Source organism: Homo sapiens, chromosome 7 (genome assembly GCF_000001405.40).
Source record: "Homo sapiens chromosome 7, GRCh38.p14 Primary Assembly".
Lineage (NCBI taxonomy): Eukaryota > Metazoa > Chordata > Mammalia > Primates > Hominidae > Homo > Homo sapiens.
Genome location: NC_000007.14, coordinates 126,685,296 through 126,707,710, shown reverse-complemented (window position 1 = coordinate 126,707,710; position 22,415 = coordinate 126,685,296). Strand labels below are relative to the sequence as shown.

General features: G+C 39.8%; 1 protein-coding gene across 25 annotated transcripts in view, besides 4 other annotated features; it reads left to right on the top strand.

Moving 5' to 3' along the window:
* The window catches only part of GRM8 (glutamate metabotropic receptor 8), an 814,344-nt gene that overhangs the window by 545,231 nt on the left and 246,698 nt on the right, over positions 1-22,415 (top strand). The window contains exon 7 of one of the 25 annotated variants that reach the window (NR_028041.1): positions 5,884-5,954. The exons of 23 other annotated variants lie outside the window; for them this stretch is intronic. Coding sequence is in view for 1 of the 2 variants with exons in the window: in NM_001371088.1 (NP_001358017.1) it covers positions 5,870-5,883 (14 nt within the window). In the remaining variant the exon portion in view is untranslated. Of the gene's footprint in view, positions 1-5,869; positions 7,645-22,415 lie in introns of those variants that run through there. One more of the 25 variants, NM_001371088.1, reaches the window with a different exon arrangement.
* Positions 4,989-5,038: an enhancer, noted in NCBI's record as "active region_26580". NCBI's record gives its function as "activates an Ori minimal core promoter by ATAC-STARR-seq in GM12878 lymphoblastoid cells {active_cell/tissue: GM12878}" and the evidence as "EXISTENCE:reporter gene assay evidence [ECO:0000049][PMID:35858748]".
* Positions 5,767-6,966: an enhancer, noted in NCBI's record as "P300/CBP strongly-dependent group 1 enhancer chr7:126340799-126341998 (GRCh37/hg19 assembly coordinates)". NCBI's record gives its function as "activates an origin of replication core promoter dependent on BRD2, BRD4, P300/CBP, MED14 and CDK7 cofactors, with strong dependence on P300/CBP, by STARR-seq in HCT116 cells {active_cell/tissue: HCT116}" and the evidence as "EXISTENCE:reporter gene assay evidence [ECO:0000049][PMID:35650434]".
* Positions 6,371-6,690: an enhancer, noted in NCBI's record as "active region_26579". NCBI's record gives its function as "activates an Ori minimal core promoter by ATAC-STARR-seq in GM12878 lymphoblastoid cells {active_cell/tissue: GM12878}" and the evidence as "EXISTENCE:reporter gene assay evidence [ECO:0000049][PMID:35858748]".
* Positions 10,890-10,959: an enhancer, noted in NCBI's record as "active region_26578". NCBI's record gives its function as "activates an Ori minimal core promoter by ATAC-STARR-seq in GM12878 lymphoblastoid cells {active_cell/tissue: GM12878}" and the evidence as "EXISTENCE:reporter gene assay evidence [ECO:0000049][PMID:35858748]".

The following is a 22,415-nucleotide window of genomic DNA, read 5'->3' as shown; positions in this document are numbered from 1 at the left end:
AATGTCTTTCTCATGTAGATAGTGTTTCAAATGTAATTTATAAAAGAGACTTTCTTTCCTTATTGTTGAGTATCAGTTGACCATATATGAATGGGTTTATTTCTGGGTTCTCTATTTAGTTCCATCAGGGGGCTGTACCTTTAATGCGTTGAAACTCTAGAGCCTAGCGTAGACCTAGAGTATAGGAGAAGTAAACAAATCTGATGAAGAAAAGAAAGTCTAGTTAAATGAAGCATTGTCTAATACTATACACCCCCTTCCCCACATACATACCTTAAGGCAAGATACAATTTGCTTAATGAACACTCTCATGCCATTATAGTAGTCATCTTGTTTCCAGCTGGCTTACAACTTGGACTCCTCTCTGAAATTCTGAAAGTCAGTGTAGAAACTTTAGCCTTATTTAAAAAAAAATACTTGTACACAATAATAGCTATAGTCTTTTTGTGGAGGTGAAAGTTAATCTACCTTTGTTTCTCTGGTGAGCCATGGTAGGTTCCTGAGCCAGGGGAGCATTGTAATAATAACAGTGTTTTAGGATTTCTTTTTTCATTAGACATTTAAAAAAAAATAGAGATAGGGTTTTGCCATGTTGCCCAGGCTAGTCTTGAATTCCTGGACTCAAGCGATCTGCCCACCTTTCCCTCTCAAATTGCTAGGATTACAGGCATGAGCTGCGATACCCAGCCAGGAATATTTATGTAGTAAATATGTAGAAAGTAGATTGTCTTGAAGAGAGAGCAGCTATAAGGTGGCCAGGTAGGCATGAGGTAAAAAGGACTAGGACCCCAGTGAGCATTTTGTCTACCTTTGTGGTAGACATGGCAGATACCAGGTATATATTAAAACTATTGAATAAGGAGGACCATTGAAAATAACATGTGAAGAATTCACATAATGCTTTTTGAAACCAGACTTACAGTATCTTATATTATCTGTGGCTGTAACTACTCATGTTCACTTTTTCCTTTAGCATGAATTATTAGTAAAGGCAAAACATTCTGCATTCTGAGAGTTGACCTAATGTGGTGATCATTTTATGTGTTAACTTGACTGGACCACAAAGTGCCCAGGTTAAACATCATTCTCAGCATTTCTATGAGGGTGTTTTAGGTTGAGATTTACCTTTAAATTGGTAGACTGAGTAAGGCAGACTACTCTTCCTAATGTTATGGGCCTCATTCATACGGTTGACAGCCTGAATAAGACAAAATGGCTGACCTTCTCCAAGGAAAGATTTCCCCCCACCTTACTGACTTCAAACTGGGACATTGGCTTTTCTCTGCCTTCTGATTTGAACTGAAAAATAAGCTCTTCCTGAGACTCAAACTTACTGACCTTTGGACAGGAACTAGACCATTAGCACTCCTGGGTCTCCAGCTGGCCAACTCACCCTGTAGACCTTGGGATTTGTCAGTCACCATAATAATGTGAGCCATTCTTTATATCAAATTGTATTTATTATAAGGAATTGGCTTATTGGTTCTGTTTCTCTGGAGACCCCTGATTAAAACACCTATACTATAGATTTTTAAAATCTACTAGGCAATTTCTCTCAGGTTTACATGGATATTGAAACAAAGAGAAAAATTCAGATGTTACTTGCAAGCATCTTCCTACTAAATAAATTTTCCATGACATTAAAATTAATATCAACCATGGCAATTATGTGTTCTTTCCTCTCTTAAAGTAATGGTACTTTTATCTAAAATTCATTTCATAGTGATATATTTAATGATTACTTGGGTCTTCTTTACTTACATTAATTAGGCTTTAACAAACCAGACAGCCCATAACATAATAAATAGCTTGAAATTAATATAGTGAAAACTCATTAAAAAAACTCTTGGTTTCTTAATTTACTGCTGCTCCTGAATAAATATGCTCAGATATTTTTATTTTCTTTTAGTGTGAATCATTTCAACTTAAAGATTAGATGTTTAAATATTTTGAGGCTCTCCAATGTTTTCCAACAGTGAAAAATCTTAACAGTTTTACATCTCTTAATGACTATGAGTTCAAATAACACATTCATGATAACCTGTTAGTTTAATATACATACATGTTAACCTATGTATATTAACCTAACTTTTTAACTGATTACATATTAGTTTCATATACGTCCATACATATATATTTGTTTAGGCCTGTGCACAAATATATGTACACACACGTACACAGATAGGCTTGTCCACACATAGATCTATGTATATTCTCTCTGTAATTATTTCAGACAAACAAATATATTTAAGTGGAGATAAAATGTTTGTTTAGTGACTTACATAGCTACTTTTCAATGTATGGCAATCATAACATCAACCTCAGCCACAATGGTATTGATGATTATGATTATAATGATAAAACTTGCATATGTAATGGGCTTAGCAAGTTTGTGCAGCAAGGAGATTGGCAAGATGGCCCATGGTATCCTGCAATGCTAGGATTATATTTATAAGAATAGCAAGTCAGCTTTCCAGATAGTAATTATAGCAAAGTAAGCAGACTTCAACTTATAGTCTCAGGGCTACTGATTATTGGGGAACCTGCCCCCGATAGTCATGTAGGTTCTTTTCTATTTTCCCTAAGCATCGGCCGGATTGAGAAATAAAGGGACAGAGTACAAAAGAGAGAAATTTTAAAGCTGGGCGTCCAGGGGAGACATCACATGTCAGTAGGTTCCGTGATGCCCCTCAAGCTGCAAAACCAGCAAGTTTTTATTAGGGATTTTCAAAAGGGGAGGGAGCGTACAAATAGGGTGTGGGTCACAGAGATCACGTACTTCACAAGGTAATAGACTATCACAAGGCAAATGGAGGCAGGGCGAGATCACAGGACCACAGGACAGGACGGGGTGAAATTAAAATTGCTAATGAAGTTTCGGGCACCATTGTCATTGATAACATCTTATCAGGAGACAGGGTTTGAGAGCAACCAGTCTGTTAAAAATTTATTGGGCGGGAATTTCCTCTTCCTAATAAGCCTGGGAGTGCTATGGGAGACTGGGGCTTATTTCATCCCTACAGCTCGACCATAGAAGACAGCCAGACCCAAGGGTCCATTTCAGAGACCTATCCTCAGGGGCGCATTCTCTTTCTCAGGGATGTTCCTTGCTGAGAAAAAGAATTCAGTGATATTTCTCCCATTTGCTTTTGAAAGAAGAGAAATAGGGCTCTGTTCCGCCCGGCTCACTGGTGGTCAGAGTTTAAGGTTATCTCTTTTATTCCCTGAACATTGCTGTTATCCTGTTCTTTTATCGAGGTGCCCAGATTTCATATTGTTCAAACACACATGCTCTACAATTTGTGCAGTTAACACAATCATCACAGGGTACTGAGGTGACATACATCCTCCTCAATTTATGAAAATGATGGGATTAAGAGATTAAAGTAAAGACAGGCATAGGAAATCACAAGGATATTGATTGGGGAAGTGATAAGTGTCCATGAAATCTTCACAATTTATGTTTAGAGATTGCAGTAAAGACAGGCATAAGAAATTATAAAAGTATTAATTTGGGGAACTAATAAATGTCCATGAAATCTTCACAATTCACATTCTTCTGCCATGGCTTCAACCAGTCCCTCCATTCGGGGTCCCTGACTTCCCCCAACAACTGATCAGAGTTGAAAGAATATAGGAAACATATAATAAGAGGGTTGTAGACGTCCTGACAGTCTGACTTAATCATTTGCTGGTAGTATAGGTAGACAGAAGTCGTCCAGTTCTTCCTGGGCCTGAGGAAGTGTTCGTGAATTTGCAGGTAAGGACAGGGTCTGTGGTTGTAGGGTTAATAGAGGGAATGTCTGATAGGCTTTGGTAACAGCCAACATAAGAAAGAGGTGCTTTGGTGGCCAGGTGTGGTGGCTTAAGCCTATAATCTCAGCACGCTGGGGGGCCAAGGCTGGAGGATTGCTTGAGCCCAAGAGTTTGAGACCAGACTGGGCAACATAGCAAGACTCTGTCTCAAGAAAAAAATTTTAAAAATTAGCCAGGTATGGCAGAGCACACCTGTAGTCCTAGACACTTGAAAGATTGAGGCAAGAGGGTCGCTCAAGGCCAGGAGTTTGAGGCTGCAGTGAGCTGTGATCATACCACTGCACTTCAGCCTGAGTGATAAAGACGAGACCTCGTATAAAAAACGAAAAAGGTGCTTGGATGCACTGTGCTCTGAGGTTTTGTTTCTGACTCTTATGTTAAAACGTCTTGACCCTAGGACCTGGTTTAGATGAGGATTTCCATGGAAAACTGACTGTTCCTTTGCAGATTCTTATTTATAAAACTCTCCTTGTCAAAGTCTTTTGTCTGGTTTGCATCTCAACTTTGACTTGTGCAACCAAAGATACCCAAAAACAAAACGAAAACAAACTCTTGATGCTTCAAACATATGTTTATTCTATCCTATTCGTCTCTGTTTTAATGAATTACAGCACATCTACCTTCTGATCTAGCTGAAAGCCAAGAATTTAATTCCTCCTTTTCCTCACCCCTGCTAGTACTACTGACATAGTCCTATACTAATCTTCCTGCTTTAATTCCTTTTCTGCAAGGCATCTAGTCTAATATTCTTAAAACTAGATCATGCCTGATTGAAACTCCTCAATGAATTCCCAATATACTAGGAAAAATCTGAACTTGTCTCTCACTGACATGGCCCTAATCAGACTCCCACAGTGTCTCATTTTCCGCATTCCCACCTCTTCATTCCTCCAGCAACAGTGACTTTATTCTTGTGGCTTGAACGTGCCAAGTCTTTTCCCAGCCTTGACCCTGTACGCTTGCTATTTTCTCGGTCTGGAATTCTCTTCCCCTTATTTGCCACATGACTCCTTTTCATTCTTTAGGTCTTTATCACTTAGCATTCTGTGACAGATAACAGAAACCACTCCATTTTAATCAGAAGGGAACTTAACATGGTAAGTTAGTGCTTACAATTTTTTAGAAGGTCTTGGGAATAGCTCTTGATGTGGAACTATTCCAGACTCCAAGAACACCACCACAGAACTGGCCCTCTACATCTGCCTCATCAGGAAGCTGGGGAGTTAGAAGACTGCTGTCCCAACTGCTGGCTTCAGGGTTGTACTACTATAACCATGAGTAGGGGATCAGGAAGTGGGGTCAGAACCATTACCTTCAGGAACACATCTTATGTGCTGTCTGACAATAAGGAGACTGGACTTCTGTGCCAGTGAAGTAGACACCTTCTCTGCCACTGCGTCGTCCTTCTACAGTTTAGTTCTGAATCAGTGCTTCGCATGAGTATATCTGGTTGTCTGTGTCTAAATCCAGATCCCTAGCTGCGGAGGAGGATATGAAACATAGCTTTTAGCTTTCCAGTTTCTGGAGTACAAGAAGGTATGCAAAATGAGGTTGAAACAGATGATGGTCTGCCAGAAGGCCTCCCCTCATTACACCTGTCCATCCCATGAAATCCTATTATATCATCCTCTTTATTCCCATAATAGCAGTTATTGTAATCTCTATCCTTTTTAATTTGTTTTTCATTTGTATACTGTGTGAGTCTTCCACTGCTGGACTGTAAGCTCCACAAGGCAAGGGGCTTTCCTCACTTATGCAGGACTTGGCATGTGCGAATGCTAGCACAAATGTGTTGCTGAATTGAGTTGAATAAATGAATAAATAGAGCCTGCTTATTATTTCTATATTCACTAAACGACACTCATTGGTCTCTGACAAGATTCCCTTTTAGTTGGGGTGACCAAATAACTTGTTGTTCAAATAGGGACACTTCGGAGAAAGAAATGGGTAGCATGATTAATAATTATACTAAGACAGAAGGCATGACATGGGGCTGTCTAAAGCAAACCAGGCATATAGTCATTAACTCATTATAATCACTATTCTCTGACAGACTTATCTTCTTAGGTTGCCGAAGAGGGATCCAGATGTCTCTACCCTGGCCAACTCTTTTTACTCCTTCATTTTCCAGTAGTTGGGTAAGAATTTTGGTTGCATGGACTATAACAATAGTTTTATACTTCTTGTAGGATTTCTAAAACTAAAAAAAAATTCTCACAATATTTTACTATCTAGACTATTTGAACTTGATTCTAGATCTTGTAACAAAAATCAAAAGCAGGGTTCTAGTGTATGGTTTTCCAATGTCATTTTAAGTAGGTTACTCAGCAATCACTGGGAGAGTTTACTAGAAACAGATTTTTAAAAACATCTCTCTTGGAGCTACTGATTTCTTTAGAGGAGCTCAAGAATCCATTCCTTGTAAAACTACCAGTGAGTATGGCGCATGGTTAGATTTAAGAACCATGAGATAAGAAGCGTCTGAGCCCTCTTCTATATTTGGTACAAGGATTAATAAGTACTTTTAACATATATAATCATTGGCATTAACTACGATAAAAGCTGTAAATGACTCAGCAGTGGGAACTGACAGGCTACTGTGCTCCAGCGTGCAGGATGTCTGTGTGATGTGATGCATGTGTTTGCAATACAAGGCAGCCCACCCCCAACCTTCCGGGCCTGCAGCTGAGATCAACTGTGACTAACCTGATTCCAAAACTAGCTGACTCATTTCATTGCTTCCTGTTTCTCTTATTATACTTTGAAGTGTTTTCAGTGAAGAGCCTAGCACTCTGCCCAGTGTACTGTAAGTGCTTGGTAATTATTGGTTATATATATATACACACATATATATATACATTTATTAAAAGAAGGAAGGAAGAAAAGAAGGAATGGAAGAGAAGGGGAGAGGGAGGGAAGGAAGGAGGGATCAAGTAATGAGGCAATATGGTAAATATAGTAGAGAAACAAATTTACTGTTCTTTATCAGGATGCAATTTTAGGAATTTAGGATTTAGGAACATAAACACAAAGTATCTTGGGAACAGGACAAAATTATGTCCTCTGTTGTTTCAGATGACTTGTTAAAAACTGAAATTTTGTTGCACTGGTTTTTACACATCTGAGTGCTAAGGTAACTGCTTGTTTGACTGAATGTAACTTAAAAATATATGTAATGGACATTTTTTATTTCTTTAAATGGTGTAACAGGTTGATGTGAGAATGGACCTGCTCAGGGTGAACTAAATTGGGACTGGAGTCCCAATTTATCACCCTCATCAAATTATGTAATTTATTTCTTTCAAAATATTAAACTTTAAAATACAGATTATAATAACATTTATTTTAGGATTATGAGAATATGAGAATCAAGTGAGCTAATGAATGAGAATCATTGTTTTGAGAATCAAGTGAGCTAATGAATGAGAAAGTTCTAGGAAATATTTTAAAGTGAGATTAAAAAAGATTACTTGCCCTTTTCACTGAAACAGGTTTTCTTAAAAATCAATCATTAATAACTAGAATATAGAGGCATGCTGTATTCAAATCTGTTGCAGTCTTCAGCCTTATTTTCATTATATTGAGTTCTTGATTTCTTGATATATTTTGCGTCCAACATGGTTTCTTTCAGATACCAGTATCTGAAAGAGCTTTTTAATGAAATAGATTTTTAATATTCATTCATTGTCTAGATATTGTGAAATTGCTGTTGTTCTATACCAATCTTAGACATAATACAACCTGCAGTTACTGATGTGAAATTGAATGGAGAAACTTCATTCTGTAAAGTTGAATCAGTGATTAAAATAACCCTATGAACTATCTGAACAGTGTGTGTGCCTTGGTTCTGGTTTTCTTCTATCTAATTGTAGTCCCAATATCAGTTAACATCCTCCATCTCCCTGTGCAGTGATGCTTACTTACTCTGAACAGATGTTATAGTGACTGGAAAAAAATCAGTTTATCCATCAATAGACCTAGATCTCATATCTCCTAAAAATGTACTTTCCATCATTCTCTTTTGAGCCAGTATTTATTATTGTCCCAAAAAATGTGCATTGCAACTGGAGAGATGCAGCCAGCTTAGGCAAGCATGCCTCTAGTGGGCTTAGGGCATTTCTGGGCCACTCTGTCTCTTTATCTGGAGGCTGGAAATGATTGTTTGACACACACCAAAGGGAGAACTTCATCAGACACTGAAAATGGTACCTTGTAGCCTGCAAAAAAATACTTCCCATTGCTCCAGGGGTGGAGAAAAGTAAAGATGCAGAAACATAAAAGTCAAAATCAAAATGTAATAGAAAAATGAAAGAGGAAATAGAAGAGGAAGGTGATAAAAATAATGTATGAACTGCTTTTTTATTTAGCAGTCTTATCAAAATCACAGGGGATTTTTTTGTCTGTCAGAGTCTCAAATCCTTAGGCATCTCATGAAATATCATGAATTTTCAATGTGCTTTAAATTTTACATTTTTGAAAGCAAGAGAATTTTCTTACATACTGCATCAGTCCAGCAGATAAAAACTAGCACAACAGAACTCTTATAAACTTATTTTTGTCGAATTCACTTCTTATAAAAGCAGTATAGTTACAATTGAGGGAAATAATGGAAAATGGCTTTGCTGTGAATTTTGATGGCTTTGTTGAATCTTTAAATCTAACCTCATTCCGTCTATCATTAGTCTTTTCCTTTCATGCCTTTGATGGCAATCGTGTTTTACAGATGAACCCATTAATTCACTGGGAGGTTAAGTGATTAGCTCTGCCTGGCAGTCAGGTGCAGGGTTAAGATTAGATAAAAGTCCCTCAGGGTCTAGTGATTGCTAAACTTTGAGGACAGTGACCCTCCTTATTATAAAACCAGACATTCAGAAATTATCTAACAGCTTCTTTCACCACATTCCAAAGAAAGTTTATTTACCTTTACAGAGAAAGTGCCTATGATGGTTTTAAAAGCCAGGTTGCTAGAAAGACACTTTCTCCTCAGAAGCTAATATAATTTAGAGAGAATTTCTTGAGAGAAATATAAATGTATTTCAATTTATGCATTGCCTACATAATTAATAATAAAGTAAGTATTTTTTTGGCTTGTTAATATTCCAGGCACCCCAACAAGCTCTATTGGGGTTACGAAGGTATGCAACTCTTAGAACCAACCCACACTGAGTCATTCATTGTTTTGTTGCTTCATTCATTCATGACAGACAATTCATTTATGACAGTTGTTAAATTTATGAAAAAATAGCTTGATTAGGAAAGGTTTCACGGTCTAGATTGTATCAGATGGATAAAATGTTAACAGGCACAGAAGTGTGAGTCATTCCAGGTATAGGAAATAACATGACAATCTCCCTCCTAAATAAATCTCTGTGGTAGAAAGACATAGTAACATTTAATGAGTAGCACACATGCACTGATATGCCTAGAGCATTTTGTAATATGTGGAAAGTAATTTTAATATAAGTTAAATATTTATAAAATACATATTTAAAAGATAAGCATCATTTTTTCTTCAATTTTGTGATTCATCTAGTTTTCTGTAAATGGTAGAAAATAGAACAATTCTATTATATTCCAATCCTTCCTCCACAACCCTCTCAATAAAATTATAACAAAGAACAAGCCACTACATAATTCCCCTTCCACTTACTGTAGAAGAAGAACAACTCTTAATATTAATTGTGAGGGTTTCACCAGAGTATTGTCTAATTAAAGATGACCAGAGAAGCGGCAGCCTCAGAGACTCCTTTAATTTGACATCCTGAATACGTAGCATGTTTAAGAGTAGTTCTCAGGGGTAGTTCCACAATCTATTCCATTTGTATAAACCTCCAGAACTTCACTGAGACAATAGGAGTATGTAAAGGAATAACTTGCTTCCATGAAGAACAAATATTTACTGCATTTGCTTGCATTGTTTCTCAACTTTTTAGTAAATATTTTATTTCTGAAATGAAAGAACTGTTTTGTGCAAAAATTCCTTCAAGATGCAGATTTCAGTGAACTTGGGGTTCCAGCCATTGCAGCCTTGAGTATAATTTCCACCTGAAGGTTGAAGAGATGTGAGCAACACTTAGGCACCCCTTCTATATTTTCAGCAAATAGTGTTTTTAATGCTTCTTTGTTCTTCCCTTGTTAAATCTTCAGATTAGTAACTGCTGATTAATGCCCCAAAGAGAAGGGATTACAGGCAGATAAGTATTGCATACTAATTTCCTTAAATTTGGGGATGGGCAGAAATATGGAAAGATGTGAGTAAATGTTATAAACATTTCAAAAGAAAAAAAAATGACCCACAATGGGGAGATGTGTTAATGTGTTGTCCAGGCAATAAAAGTGCATTACTTTCCTTCTTTTATTGTGTATATTTAAGGCATACAACATGATGCTTTGATAAATGTATATTACATATATATTTAGTGAAATATACTAAGGTCAAGCACATTAACATATCCATCATGTCACGTAATTACCTTCTTTTTTATTTTTTGGTGGTAACAGCACCTAAAATCTGCTGTCTTAGCCAGTTTCTAGTATATAATACAAAATTATTAGCTGTAGTCCTCATGCTGTACATTAGCTCTTGAGACTTACTTATTTCAGTTGTTTATGTAACTGCAACTTTGTACCCATTGACGTGCATTTCTCCATTCCCCATCCCCTCCTTGTCCCTGATAACCACTGTTGTACTATCTTTTTCTATGGGCTTGACTTTTTTTTTTTTTTTTTAATTCCACACATAAGTGAGAACATACAGTATTTGTCTTTCTGTGCCTGGCTTATTTCACTTAGCATAATGTCTTCCAGGTTTGTCCATTTTGTCACAAATTGCAGAATTTTCTTTTTTTTTTTAAAGGCTGAACAGTATTCTCTTTTGTATATATTATGCATTTTCTTTATCCATTCATCCCTTGAGGGACACTTAGGTTGCTTTCATATCTTGGCTATTGTGAATAGTGCTGCAACGAACATTGGCGTGCGGATATTTCTACAAGGTGCTGATTTCACTTCCTTTTGGGTGTATAACCAGAAGAGGGATTGCTGGGTCATATGGTTTCACTTCCTGGGTGGAAGCCCCCCAGTTTTGAAGGCCTGTATTCAGTAAACTGTCTACAATAATCCCATCTGAGCCTCCTTTTCTTCAGCCTCTGTCTGTCTTTGTTTTGGCATCTATCTTCTCTGATTTGTTCCTTCCCACGTCCCTTCTCCATTGCCAGTTCCTTTTAGCCTCAGCAAATAAACATGTTCCAGTTTCTTATTTCATGAGAGAAAAGTAAAAATAAATAAATAAAAACACAACCTTTAAACCTTCTGCCTCTCTCTCAGTAATAGTTCCTTAAAGAAAGGAGGCTTCCATGTGTTACCACTGCGTCATTATCCTCAGCAAACTAACACAGGAACAGAAAATCAAAGACCGCATGTTCTCACTTGTAAGTGGGAGCTGAACGATGAGAACAGATGGATACAGGGAGGGGAACAACACACACTGGGGCCTGTCAGGAGTAGGGGGCAGGGAAAGAGAGAGCATCAATATCAAATAGCTAATACATGCGGGGCTTAATACCTAGGTGATGGGTTGATAGGTGCAGCAAACCACCATGACAGACGTTTACCTGTGTAACAAACCTGCACATCCTACTTATGTATCCCAGACTTAAAATAAAATGCATTTTTTCAAAGAGTTTTTGTTTCTTAAATTTTGCATCCAATTCCATGCATCACTCACTTCACCCTAGTCCCAGCCCTGTGTATCCACTTGTGCATTTCACAGGTAACTCAAGCTATTTGTATTCTACCTTCAATCAAGCCTTCTTTCACACTGTTACTCCCTGCTTCTGTGAACGTCATCACATTTTACCTGGTTGTAAAAGCCAGAAAGCTGGGTTGCCTTCACCCTTTTCTTTATCCCTGTCTCTCCAACCTTATAATCAGTGATCATATGTTGCCTCTTATGGCTCTTTAATATCTTTCTTCAGAAACACTCTCTCTACTTAAGACCCTCCTCATTTCTTTCCTGAATGGCCAAGAATTGTCCTCTAACTATTCTTTTGTGCTAATGTGTCCCCCGCCCCATCCTTCTCTGTTTTTTACGTAATTGTGGCCAGAGAAATTTTTCTAAAATGCAAATCTGATCATACATCCTTGACTACTTAAAGTCTTTCAATACCTTTTTATTGGCTTAGCATAAAGTCCAAAATCCTTAGCAAGCCGAATAAAAACCTTAATCATCTGGACCTCCTAAGCCCTTCATTTTACTTAATTGTCACTGACCAATTAAGACCTTTGCTGAAATACTTGCAGGGAGGTAAATAGGTTATTTCTCACAGCATTGGGCCTTCTAATATGCTTTCTTCTGCCTGAGATTCTCTTCCTGTAAAACTCAATTCATAGGGCACATTATCCAGGAATTCTTCTTGATGTTTACAGTTTCAGCTAGGCAGTCATTCCATCTACTCCTTGTAATTCAGTACTTCCGTTTCATAGCTGATACTGTTTCCTGGTCAGCCTGGTCTCCATGCTATGAGCTATTTGGAAACAGGGACCATATATTTTAATCTTATGTCTCTAGTACATTATACAGTTCTTGGAAGAAAGTAGGTATTTCCAAATGATAGAAGATATCAGTATGGAATATTATTCTTTTCTCATTTTCTTCATAATAATAACAGAATTCCCTTTAAAAATGTTTTAATATATTACTAATTTAGTATTTTGATGGATCAAGATTTGGCTATCTGCCTAGAAATAGTTTTTCTCGAATATAGGCATCTCAGTCCCTCCCATCTCTATTCCTCCTCTGTTGGAAAAGCCACCCATCAATGCAATCCTAGTACAAACTGAGATGCTTAAAAATCATGATATTTTATTCCGAGGATATCTATGAGGCAAGACTGGGGATGCAGGGAAAGAGTAGTTTAACAACTGACAGGACCACTTACATTCTGTTTCTCCATTCTTAAGCTCAGACCCCCAGATACATGTTAGAATCAAGGCATGAGACCATTGTTGTTGGCCACATTAAATGCCTCTGGCTGGACTTGGAGCTGAACAAGAATTGCATGGACATCTAGTCCAGACAAGGAGCCTCAAGAGACAAACGTATCTCAAGGTTCTGACTGACCTAGACTAATATAATTTAATAGCAAATGCATGAAAGCGTCATTAAATGTAACTAGTTTTGCCTAAGCAGAACCCAGAGGAGAAATGTAGATCTAAAATAAGACTTAGTATATTTCAACACTCAAGAGCTTTCTTGATCACTTTAAGGCATGCTAACAATTTTCCATATGTATAACAGTTATAAGGCAATTAATGGAATATTTTGCAAATCAATTGCAAAAAAGAGAAGAAAAAAATTGAGTAAGTAACAGCTGAAGTAAAAAATGAAACTGCTATAAATATAGATAATAGCTTCCATTAAAAGTGTCTTCCAACATTGGAAAGTTTAATCACAGTTACACTCAAATCATTGGTTACACTCTATTTCACAGTTATCCAGCTTGGGAAAATCTATGCACTATTAAACATGATAGGTTCAATGTTTTTTATAATATCTGGTCAGCAGTGGAAAATTTTGTTAGCTAATTTCATTAACAAGTTTCAGTTTCATTTAATTCTAACAATAATAATTAAAAAGCAAGTACTATGTTTTAGATGGTGCATGTCTAATCTGTAGAGGGGGAGGAATTTTTCTAAATGTAGAGGAATTGAGTCAGAATCACATAGGGAAATATAAATAGACCTAACTATTTATATTTAGTTAATAAATATAACTATATATAGTTTAGTTTGTTTTCTTATAAATAAATAAGAAAAACATAGTTGGGAGAAATATTTGCCTCAAATATAAGAGAAACGTTTAATACGTTGAATATTTATAATGGTCATACAAATTTCTAATGACCTATCTTAAAAAATCTTAAAATAGCAATTTACAAAGGGCATATTCCAACAATTTATGAAAGAAACTACATTTGACTGATACATTTATGAAAATGATTAAGACTTAGATGTAATAAATGAAACATAACTTGAGACATATTTTTCATCTTTTGAAATAGAAAATACTTTGAGAAGAAATATTTTGGATTGATAAGAAGGCACAGAGATCAGACTACTATTTTATATGCCCAGCAAAAGATTAAACAAACTATAAAACAAAGAAAACTGTCTAGAAAATAATTCGGCAAAATATTTTCTTCTTGCTCTTTGGTTCAGAAACACTACTTCCAAGAATTTTACCCTAAGAAGTAATGTAAAACTTTTAGAAAAAGTATTTGTACCTATTTTAAAAGCTTTTTATGTTAGAAAACAAAGGATATATAAATGTCAATAGATTGGAATATAATACAGGCATTAATATTGTTGCTTATAATAATTTAACAAAATGAGACCATGCTAATACACATAAACTGCAAAGCACCTACATGCTGTAATGTATTGTACTTATATACACCAAAACACTGAAAGAAGAATGCTAATTCATTACAATGATCATCTGTGGTTGCCAGTCTTATTGTTAATTATTATTGTTTTCTTGTATTTTTAAAATATATTTTTGATTTTTCATAAGGAGCATTTATTATTTTCATAATCAGAAAAAAGCATTTCTAATAAAAGAAATTTGGTTGGAAATGTATCACAAAGGAATAATAATGTTAGTATAACACTGCCTATTACCCACTAACCTCAAGCAAATTAGTAGATTCTTTGTACCCATGTTGACAATTTGGTTTCCCGTCTTGCCATTTGTTATTCCAGTGAATGACTGCTGTGATCTTTAGAGGAGGTGACATATCCAGTTAATCTTAGTGAAGTTTGAGGCGATTAGTTTGTTATTCACTCTTCCAGCCAACTTTTTCCTATTGAGGGTTTGGAGAGTGAAGTGGGGTGAAGGCAACACCATTCTTATTGCTAAAATAATTTAATAAGGATAGTTATATAAACAAAGCATTAAGCTGTGAAGAGAAATTGCCCATAAAGTATAACCTACTAATTTTCTGATCCTCCTTCTGTTTTACAAGATTGATATTTGGAAGGTGATTATTTTACTCTTTCAGGATTTGACCTTTGATAGGAATCAACTCCCTAAGGAATAGTTTGGTTAAACTAAACCTTAACTGAATTCCAAGTTAGTAAGGAACTCATCCTCAATAGGGAAGAGAAAAAATTGCAGTGTTTTATTTTTTTTTCCAGTCAGAACAGTGTATAACTACATTCTACAGTTAAGCAATATTAGATGTAGTCTTTGGGATTCTGATATATTCTCAGTTTACTGCTTAGTGCTGTAGTATTTTTCCATTATGTGCTGCTGCAAGAATTCAATCTTCCCAGGATGGCATATTGAACACACCTTCCATGTGGAGAGTAATGCCATGTCCTGAAGATAGTCCCCTCCATTCTCAACATTTTTAACACACATCATCTAATGTTGACATCAAGGACATGGAGAGGGCCTTAGTCATCACTGTCCTTGGTGGGGGACACTTAGAGTACTTTGGGACTCAACCTCAGGCATTTCCTCATCATTCTTTGTCACTCTCATTCTATAGCAAGTCAGCATATCTGCTACTGTTCCAGAGTTTGACCCAATTATAGTAGAATTTCAAAGGTTGTGGTATCAAAATTAAAATTCTGGTACTCAAGAATGTGTTTATAACTTTAGTGATACACATAGAACTAACTGTTGGATGGAGAAAGTTCGTTAGCCCACTCACTTCTGTGTCAAGGTCTTTATTATAGGAAAAGCTTAATTCCCATTGTGAATGGGCAACATTTTCTTTTCTATTCCTGGCTTTCCCCTCCAGTTCTCTTTCTTTTCAGCATGTTTCCCTCTCCTTCAGAATTCCAAAGCTCTGATCTTCCCTCCATCCTACCCTAAACTTGCCATTGAGAAAGAACTCCATACAGTCCTTCATGCTCAGACCTAAATGTAAGTTTACAATGAGGTTTCTGTCATTCTTTGTGTCATTTGCATTTAAAAGGGCCCGAAGATCTAGGTAGTCTACCAGGATTAAATTCTCACTGAGTAGAATTCCTTGAGTGAGCAGATCTGTCAGGTGTATTTTAGGGGTTGGTGTCTCTTTCACCCAGCCAGCTACGTTTGTAATTAAGGGCAACACTGAAGTTTATCTGCTCCACTCTTACCCTCCTGCTTGCATGCTTACTTTCATCCTTGTGGGGGCCCCAGTATTATGCCTTCAGGTGGGCCCAAACAGACTCTCATTCCTCCAATATTGTCTTAACTCATTACTAAAGTGTTGGTTCTTCTGGCCAGCTCTAATGATAACAGCAACGGCCTGTCTGGAGTGGCTGTTGCCATGACACTGGCTGCAGTAGGGGAGGTGTGGCCAGGGCTGAGCCCTCTCAGGAACAGATGGAAGCCCTGCCCCCTTCCAAGTTGGAGGGGCAGGAACCTCACTCCCCCAGGCACCACTGCAGCGACCTAGCTGCGGCTGCGGACTCAGGCATCTCTGCACTTTTGGGGGCCTGGGAAGCCCCTTTGCCCCTGCAGGATCAGAAGTACCTGCTCCCTCTGCCTGGCCTCTCCCCACTCCCGGTGCCTGCTCTGATTTCAGAGCAAAGTTAAGGCTGAGCCCAGGCACTGTCGCAACCTGGCCAGGTGCATGCATGCACACTTGGGGCAGCACTAACACACCAGCCCCCTGCCACCTTAGCCCCCTCTGGACTTTGGGCACTGACCAGCATGAGAGGGAGGCCAAGAAGGGGCTAAGGGCAGCTCAGTGTTGGCTTGCAGGCACCCCTTGGCATGAATAGCCTGGACGCCATGGGCACTGTAAATGGCAGGTTAATGACAATGGGAGGCAGACAGGCTCCTGGGTGGAAAGGGGCAGTTCCCCGGTGAAACCCCGCCTTCAGGCCAGTTCTGCAGATAGGAGTGAGAACTTGCCGTGCTTTTTCTGGGCCCACCCATGGCTGCCCATGGACCAATCAGCATTCACTACCTCCCCTCTGAAGCCCATAAAAACCCTGGATTCAAGCGACTCAGGCAAATGATGAGCTGACCATCATTTGGTCAGAGAGGAGCTACACATTATGGGTCTCCTCTTTGCTGAGAGCTGAGCAGACAATGGGATGCCCTGCCTGCAGAGAAAAGCTACCCACTGCAGGTCTCCTCTGAGTTGTTTAGTAAAGCACCCTTTGCCTTGCTCACCCTTCACTTGTCTGCGTACCTCATTCTTCCTGGATGTGGGACAAGAACTGGAGACCCACCAAATGGTGGGGCTGAAAGAGCTGTAACACACACAGGGCCAAAACACACCCCTTGCTCACCATGTTGTGGTCTACTAGAAGCAGAGAAGAGCTGCGGCCCTTTGGGGAGCCCAGACCAAGGAACTCCCTGAGCCAGGGATGTGACACACTCTTGGGGCTCTGCGGTTCCTGGTGTCTTCAAGCTTCTGGGCACCACTGCGTTCCCCAGTGCCAGCCGTGGAAACTGCTTGTGGTATGCCTGGTTCAGCTACAGCCTTGCAGGGAGGTGGCACCCATGCAGGTGCCTGGAGCTGCCCACCCCGCCACAGCCAGCGTGCCTGGCTGTGCACAGTTGCTGGATCCCACGCTTGCTTGCTCACATACCCCTCACCACTCCGTGCCTGCCTTGCCCTTGGCATGCGTGGGAACCAGGCCAGTAGCGCGAGCTGAGCGCAGCCTGCCAGGCCGAGTGGGCATAATGAGCCTAGCGGGCCCGAGCAAAACTCAGGCAAAGGCGCCATCAGCCACAGAGGTTTTCAGCCAGAAAAGCAACACTCCAAGGATCCTGTGACACTAGTAGCAGTAGGAATAAAATCAGAAGCAATTCCCAGCTCCAACACAAGAAGTTTAGCCCTGGAAACCTTAGTTTGCTTTGACTACTTTATTTACACACAGTTTATCTTTTATGTCATCCTCGGGCCAACTTCCTTATAATCTGCTCTATAGAGAATCTCCCACTTTACAGCTTAAACACAGGAAAACAGACCCTCCCCGCCAGAACGTATTTATTCAGTCCAACTACTGTAATAGAAACATATAGCCTCTCTGAGTCCAGTAGCATAAGAACAATTTTACCCATGGTCATGCAGAAGCTTCTGCTTATATATTTGTTATATACATAAACTGTATATGTATATATAAACATAATTAAAATAGCTATTGGGTCATTATTACAAGTGAAAATGCAATCTACAATTGTTGATGAGATAAATTGGCAGAGTATATCTGCTTCTGGCCAGTCCCTCTCATTCCGCAAATCTCTTTTGGAAAATCCTTTCCAGCCACCCCCTAGATCCCAACCTTCTCACCCCTGACACACATACACTCTACTGGCAGTCTTCAGTTATCTAGTGAATGATTTTTTTGAGATCAGCGCCATAACATTATCATTCAGTTGAGAAATTGAGGCTACTCAGCTTTCATTATTTTAGCCATAAGTACATTTTCTTCTATTAGCCATGTAAAATAGGCCCAGTGCTAAAACATTTTAAATATATTATCTTGCTCAGCCTTCACAATAACTTATTGTTGTTGGCATAATTCCTCTTTTACAGATGAGGATACCGAGGCTAAGAATGGTTGTTGCTTGTCTCAAGTTACCATTGTGCACAGGGCTCAAGACAAATTCCACAGAATCATTTGGTTAAGGAACAGGCTTTATTGGGGGAAATTTATAGGCTGGTGTCAGCAAGAGAGGCACACATTCCTGAAGCCTCTTGGCCTCCCACAGAGAGGTAAGCCAGGGCCAGTCCCTTGCTGGATACATAGTGGGTTTATATTACATTAAAGCAACATTGCCTGTGATTGGTCTCTGTTCTTATAGAGCAAGAAGAAGAGACTCTGCAGACAGGCTATTTGTATAACAGGTATAATTGTCAGCTGTTTTCCAGAGTTTTCTGAGGAAGCCAGCTGCTCAAAACCTGGGAAGCTTGGAACCAATGGAAAGATGCAGTTGCTCCTTTGCGGGTGAATAAAGCACTGTAACACCATCAAAAAAGGTGTGAACCTTTTTTTTGTAGAGGAAAAGCGAGAGCTCTCATTGTGAGTTATTTTATTGTCCAGGGAACTGAGAGAAAGCATTCCCAGCCACTTTTTGAAAAGTCTGCATTACATGCCATAGACACTGTGTGTCTCTGTGTGTGTGTGTGTGTGTGTGTGTGTGTCAGAAAGAGAGAGAGAGAAAATAGGGAAAGGAGGGGCAGAATTTAAACCAAGATCTCTGTGACTCTAAAGCTGGTATGTTATCTATTTCCTATAATACTTGCCAAACTTCTGGTATTTTTTGCCTTCTATCTGCAACTTCCTAAACTCACTCTCATTGCCATCTAGCTCAGCTCTACTCCACCCCAAGACAACTATACTTCTGTTCACTCTTTTTATAAACCACTGGGAATATTTATTCTAAGCGAAACTATGTCTCTAAACCCCAGAGACCTCTTTTACCTTTCCTTAATTATACTTAGGGCTCTATTCATCACCGACCTCCCTTGAAAAATTTCTCTAGTCAAGAGTACTGCTCTCTCACTCAGCTGCATAAATAGGGCTTCAGAGGACTCAGAGTGCTTTTTTGCATAGAGATCCTTGCTCCTTTAATTTCCTGAAAAATATGAATGCATGTTTCCAATATTCACTTTACCCATCTATGACATTTTTTTGAATTCTCATCCCTCCTACATTTAATTGACAACTCCTTCTCTGTATTTCTTAATACCCTGAACATACGTATATGAGAGAACCTGGCACAAAGGTTTTATTTACATGTATCTTCTCCTACTGGATATGAGAATTTTATGGGCATTCAGACAGTGAAAAACAAAGACACAGAATGTGATAGGATATTTGCAATATACATAATGATTGAAATGCTTGTATATGGTCTAGAATGGCTATTTTTTTAAAAAGCCTACAAATCAATGAGTATTAAAAATACAACCCAATAGAAAAAATGAGCTTGTGATTTGAACATGGACTTACTTCACCAATACAAAGAAGAAAAGTTAAAATGGTCCTAATAATCTAGGAAATGCAAGTTAGGTCCAGTAATATGGAAATGCAAATCTAGGTCTATTAATCTAGGAAATGCAAGTTAAAGATAAGATAGCAACATCTGTCTATAAGTATGACTAAATTTAAAGGAAACAGAATATCAGGTCTTGGCAAGAGTCTGAAGCTGTAGGATTCTTGCACACTGTTGTGAGGCATGTAGTGTCCTAAACCACCCTGTAAAACAGATAGGCAATATCTACTATGTTTGAAGACAGGCATACCAGATGATCTACCAATTCCATTCTTGGTTACATACTTAGTGGAAATACACATCCATTTACAACAAGGCATAAATAAAAGCATATTTGTAGTAGTAATGTGCATAATAGCTAAAGCTAGAAACAACCCATATATTCATTAATACTAGAATAGATACATAAGTTATAGTGTGTCCATGCAATGGAATGCTATTCAGCAATGAAAATAAGTGAATTACAGATAACCATAACAATGGAGATACTTCTCACAAGCAAACTCAAAAGTGGCCTAGCAGATAAAGTTCAAGTGGAGATAAAGTGATTTCTTTTATGTAAAGTTAGAAAAATAACAGGCAAAAACTAAACTAAAAGGTTTAGGAATACACTGTTAGGTGAAAATGATTTTAAAAAATCAAGACAAAGTTTATCTTAAAAGTCAGAGTGGCTATCAAGAGGAGAGATTTGTGGTTGGGAGCTGGTATAGCGGGGCACATACATGTGTGGTGGGGAGTGACCCCCAGATGTGCCAACCGTATTGCATCTCCTGACCTGTGTGGTGGTCACGCAGTGCTTGTTTTGTAATAATTCACTGAGACATGTGGTTTGGTTTTATTCAGTTTTCTGTGTATGTATTGTATTTTATATTTTAAAAGCATTATAAAAAGATAAAAACTGGTAGACGCAAGCTACTGGAATTGTAGGGTGACAGGCACCTTGAGAGGGACAAGACAGGTCAATAATTCCTGGGCTGGTTTTTCACATATCTTTGGATAGAAGGAAATAGTAATGTTACAGGATCCGTGGGGTGTCGCTTTTCTGGCTGGAAGCCTCTATGGCTGGTGGCACCTTTGCCTGAATTTTCACTGGGCCTGCTGGGCTCATTCTGTCCACTTGGCCTGGCAGGGTGCACTTGGCTTACACTACTGGCCTGGATCCTATGCCTCCAAGGGAGACTGTGAGTCAGGCGTGGAGTGGTGAGTGTGAGTGAGTGTGGGGTCTGGCCAGTGTGCACAGCAAGACACACTGGCTGCTGCTGCTGCGGGGCAGGCAGTTCCAGGTGCCAGTGTGGGTGCTGGCTCTCTGTGAGGCTACAGCTGGACCAGGAGGACTGCAAACAGCTTCTCCAGCTGGCACCAGCGAATGCAGTAGCTCCTGGAAGCTTGGAGATGTCAGGAACTTCAGGGCCCCAAATAGGGAGTCACTGCCCTGGCTCAGGGAGCTCCCAGAGCTGGGCTCCCTGAAGGGCCACAGCTTTTCTCTCCTTCTCTTCACCCACAACGTGGCAAGCAAGGGGCATGTTTCAGCCCTGTTTCTATTACAGCTTTTAGCCTTGCCATTCAGCAGGTACCAAGGTCTTGTCCTGAGTCCAGGAAGAATGAAATATGCAGACAAGTGGAGCGTGAGCAAGACAAAGAGGAGCTTTACTGAGCAATAGAACAGCTTAGAAGAGACTCTCAGTGGGCAGCTCCTCTCTGTAGCCAGGGCATCCCAGTGAGTGTTCATCTCTCAGCAGAGAGGGTAGCTCCTCTCTGCATTTGGTCATCCCATTGTCTCCTCAACTTTCAGCAGAGAGGAGACCCTGGGGTGGGCAGCTCCTCTCTGCAGCTTGTCATCTGGTCATCTCCCCATCATCTGTCTGTCCTCTGCTTGAGTCTGGCTGAGTCTGGGGGTTTTTATGGGCCTCAGAGGGGAGGAAGTGCATGTTGATCAGTCCATGGGCACCCACGAGGGCCCAGGGAAAAGCGCTACGAGTTCACCTTCTGGTATGCGGGAATGGCTCCCAGCCCCCAGGGTTCAGGCCCTCCTCAGCTTGAAGGTAGGGCATCACTGAGGACCTTCCCCCTTCTGCCCAGGAGCCTGTCTGCCGCCTGTCACCATTCATCGCACCCAGACCGTTCATGCCAAGGGGCGCCTGCAGGCCAGTACCCCGCTGTCCTCAGCACCCCTTGTGCCTCCCTCCTGTGCTTGTCCACAGCCAAAGTTTAGAGGGAGCCGAGGCAGCAAGGGGTTGGTGGGTCACTGCTGCCCTGAGCATATGCCCCTGGCCAAACTGCAACAGTGCTCAGGCTTGGCCCCAACCTTACTCCAAGATCAGAGCATACACTGACAGTGGGGAGAAGCCAGGCAGTGGAAGCAGGCACCTCCAAGCCTGCAGGGGTCAGAGGGGCCTTCCTGGGCCCCCAGGAACACAGAGATGCCTGGGTCCAGAGATGGGGCAGAGCAGCTGCAGCTGCACCCAGGGAGCTCCCACCCAGCTAACTCAGAGGGGGTGGGTCTCCCGCTTGTCCAGGGCTCTTGCAGGCTCCCTGAAGCATGGTACCACCCCAGGCCCGGCTCCGCCTCGAGTCCCCTCTCTGGTCACCC